This window comes from Homo sapiens, chromosome 7, assembly GCF_000001405.40.
Source record: "Homo sapiens chromosome 7, GRCh38.p14 Primary Assembly".
Lineage (NCBI taxonomy): Eukaryota > Metazoa > Chordata > Mammalia > Primates > Hominidae > Homo > Homo sapiens.
The window spans coordinates 106,750,292-106,753,422 of record NC_000007.14 but is presented as its reverse complement, the minus strand read 5'-3'; the positions used below and the strand labels follow the sequence as shown (position 1 = coordinate 106,753,422).

General features: G+C 42.6%; 2 annotated features.

Annotated features, from left to right (window-relative positions):
* Positions 334 to 534: a silencer, noted in NCBI's record as "peak6675 fragment used in MPRA reporter construct". NCBI's record gives its function as "represses an SCP1 promoter by STARR-seq MPRAs in K562 erythroleukemia cells {active_cell/tissue: K562}" and the evidence as "EXISTENCE:reporter gene assay evidence [ECO:0000049][PMID:32103011]".
* Positions 2,374 to 2,574: a silencer, noted in NCBI's record as "peak6674 fragment used in MPRA reporter construct". NCBI's record gives its function as "represses an SCP1 promoter by STARR-seq MPRAs in K562 erythroleukemia cells {active_cell/tissue: K562}" and the evidence as "EXISTENCE:reporter gene assay evidence [ECO:0000049][PMID:32103011]".

Here is a 3,131-nt window from a genome sequence, read left to right as displayed (position 1 = left end):
TGTCAAATGGGTATAGAATTTTAGTTTTGCATGATGAAAACGTTCTAGAGATTGGTTGCGTAACAATGTGTACACTTAACACTACTGAACTGTACAGTTAAAGAAATTAAGATGGTAAATTTTGTTATGTTTATTTCATTTTATAAAATAAAAGATAAATCGATACGTGTTGGCCAGAGTTGGGGTGAGAGATCCCTCACTCAGTGGCCTGTTACTTAAAAAAAGAAGGAAGTTAGTTGCCTTACATAGAGCAGGCCCTTCTAACAGTTCAAGGTAGCTTTGTGGTTTGTTTATTTTTAAAAAATCAGAACGGTGTGTAGCATGTACTATCTGCTAACCTTAATGTTTTTGTAGGAGGGCTTCTTTTTAAATTAAAAATATTTGCAATACCACTCATATCCAGGAGACATCAAGACATGTACCCAGAATGAGTGTTTTGACTCTGGTGGACAGCTAAACGGTGGGAAGTGCAGTTCTTGGTTCTGTCAGCAAGGCATCGTTTTTTGCTTTGTTTTTTTGACTCCAGAATTCCTGTAGTCTGAAATGGCTCCTTCCACCAGTCAATCTACTCAAATCTAGCTTAGCTGCACATCTCCCCATTTCCTTGTCCTAACTCTATTCCCCTTTTATTTCCAGCTGCACACCAGGTATGCACACCAGCAGCCTATGCCAACGTCTGTCAGAGGTGGCAAATTGTTGACTAAAATCTCCTGGAACTGCTTCCTGATTTAGCAGGAAAAAAAATTAGAATTTTCTTCACTGGGGGACAGAAGGTCAACATAGAATCATCAGCTCCTTTATCTGGATTCCTTATCTCTGCTCTTTTTGTTCTTTTACCTGCCAAGTTCTCTACACCCTCTCAGGTCTTGTGACTTTGCTGGCACCTGTTCCCTTGCTCTGACAGTTCCTGCTAAGTGTCCCCTTGGCCTGCTGATCCTCTGCTTGGGGTTAGCTCTGCATTCTGCTACAAGCAGTGGAGATAGGTGAATCCCAACTTCAGATTACATACCTGATTCTAGACACTTCTAGATCCTCCCCTAGACAACCTCTTTATGAAGGGTCTTCAGGCCACAGCTGTTTTCAACTCATAGCTTCTAATAGCAGGTATACATCAAAATCATCACTGTGAATTTTGAAAATTTTTAAAAAATTAGATGCCTTCTCTGAACAGGTCCAGAGTGGGGCTTGGGAGTGTGTCTTTCTAAAAAGCAACAACAACAAAACAAAAACCAAAAACCTACAGGGAAAACAGTTTGGAGATTTCTCAACGAATTAAAAATTGAATTACCATTTGACCCAGTGATCTCATTACTGAGTATGCACCCAAAGGAAAATAAATTGTTTTTCCAAAAAGACACATGCACTCATATGTTCATTGCAGCACTATTCACAGTAGCAAAGTCACAGAATCAACCTATGAGTCCATCAGCAGTGGATTGGATAAAGAAAATATGGTATGTATATACCATGGAATACAACACAGCCAAAAGAAAGAACAAAATCATGTCCTTTGCAGCAACATGGATGCAGCCAGAGGCCATTATCCTAAGTAAATGAACACATAAACAGAAAACCAAATATCACATATTCTCACTTATAAGTTGGAGCTAAAGATTGGGTACACATGGCCATAAAGATGGGCACAATAAACTCTGAGGTCTCCAAAAGCAGGAAGGGAGGGAGGGGGTCAGGGTTGAAAAATTACATTCTGGGTACTGTGTTCTCTCTTTGGGTGACAGGGTCAGTAGAAGCCCAAGCCTTAGCATCATGCAATATACCCATGTAACAAACCTGTGCATGCGCCCCTGAGTCTAAATAAGAAATTAATGAAAAAACCTCAGGGGATTCTGATGACATGTTTAGAGTTGGGAATAACTTCTTTGAAAGGAATCAGTTGTTGAAAGGACAATCCAACATTTGCCCTTCCCTGACTTGCCATCAGAGCTACTCTGCTCCATTGACTCTCACCCTCTTAGAGCCCCTGTGATTACAGACTTCCCTTATACAGGGGCAGGTAGAAGAAGACAATATTTAGTTTAAATTAGGGATAATATATTTTCATCACATGATCCTTCCACCATTATAACTAGTCTCTGGAGCTGAGCATTAGTGACTCTTGGACAGGTGAGTCACAGAGAACAAAAGTTAGATTTGTGGCTCTTGATTTCTAAAATAGATGCTTGAAATTTATGCCAGTGACAGTAGACTGGAAAGTCAAAGAATTCAATAGCAAGGGTCTGCCCTTTTGGGAGTCTATTCAGATCCAAAAACGTAAGGACTCAGTTCATGAAGTTTATGCCATAAACAAAAAAGCTGGGAAAATTCCTTGATGAAGGAAGAACCAGTGTTTCCACCTAAAAGGAGCTAACATTAGTCCAGCAATAAGGGAAGGAGAAGAAGTAGTCACTGCATCTTCAAGAAGGGATCTTGTGCTGCATCCCTGACTCAGCATAGCCACGGGAGGGGACCAAAGAGAAACTTGAGATAGGTTTAAGTCAATATCCCAATGGGGCCAGGCTTCCCAGAGAAGCCCTCTGCTTCAACAACGTGCAGCAGCCTGTGAGTGACGTGTGTCAACGAAGAGGACACTCGCCAGTCTGAGTCTCCCTTAGACCCAAAGGGCGGAAGACTTCCTACATTTCCCCCATTCCTCCAGGAGGGTTGCAGAAGCAGCAGAAGGAGGGATGATGGAGAAGGGACTCTGAGGCCACAAGGAGAGGATGCCATCACAGGGAGTGGCCTGAATGATACAGACTGGAGTTCATAGTTGGACACCTGGCCTCTGCAGCACAACAGATGCTACTGACTAAAGACCAGGCAAGGCCAGGCACTGTGGCTCATGCCTGTAATCCCAGCACTTTGGGAGGCTGAGGTGGGCAGATCACTTGATGTCAAGAGTTCAAGACCAGCCTGGCCAACATGGAGAATCCCTGTCTCTACTAAAAATACAAAAATTAGCTGGGCACGGTGGCACATGCCTGTAATCCCAGCTACTTGGGAGGCCGTTGCTGGAGAATTGCTTGAACCTGGGAGGTAGAGGTTGCAGTGAGTTGAGATCACACCACTGTACTCCAGCCTGGGCACCAGAGTGAGACTCTGCCTCAAAAAAAAAAAATAAATAAATAAAAGTT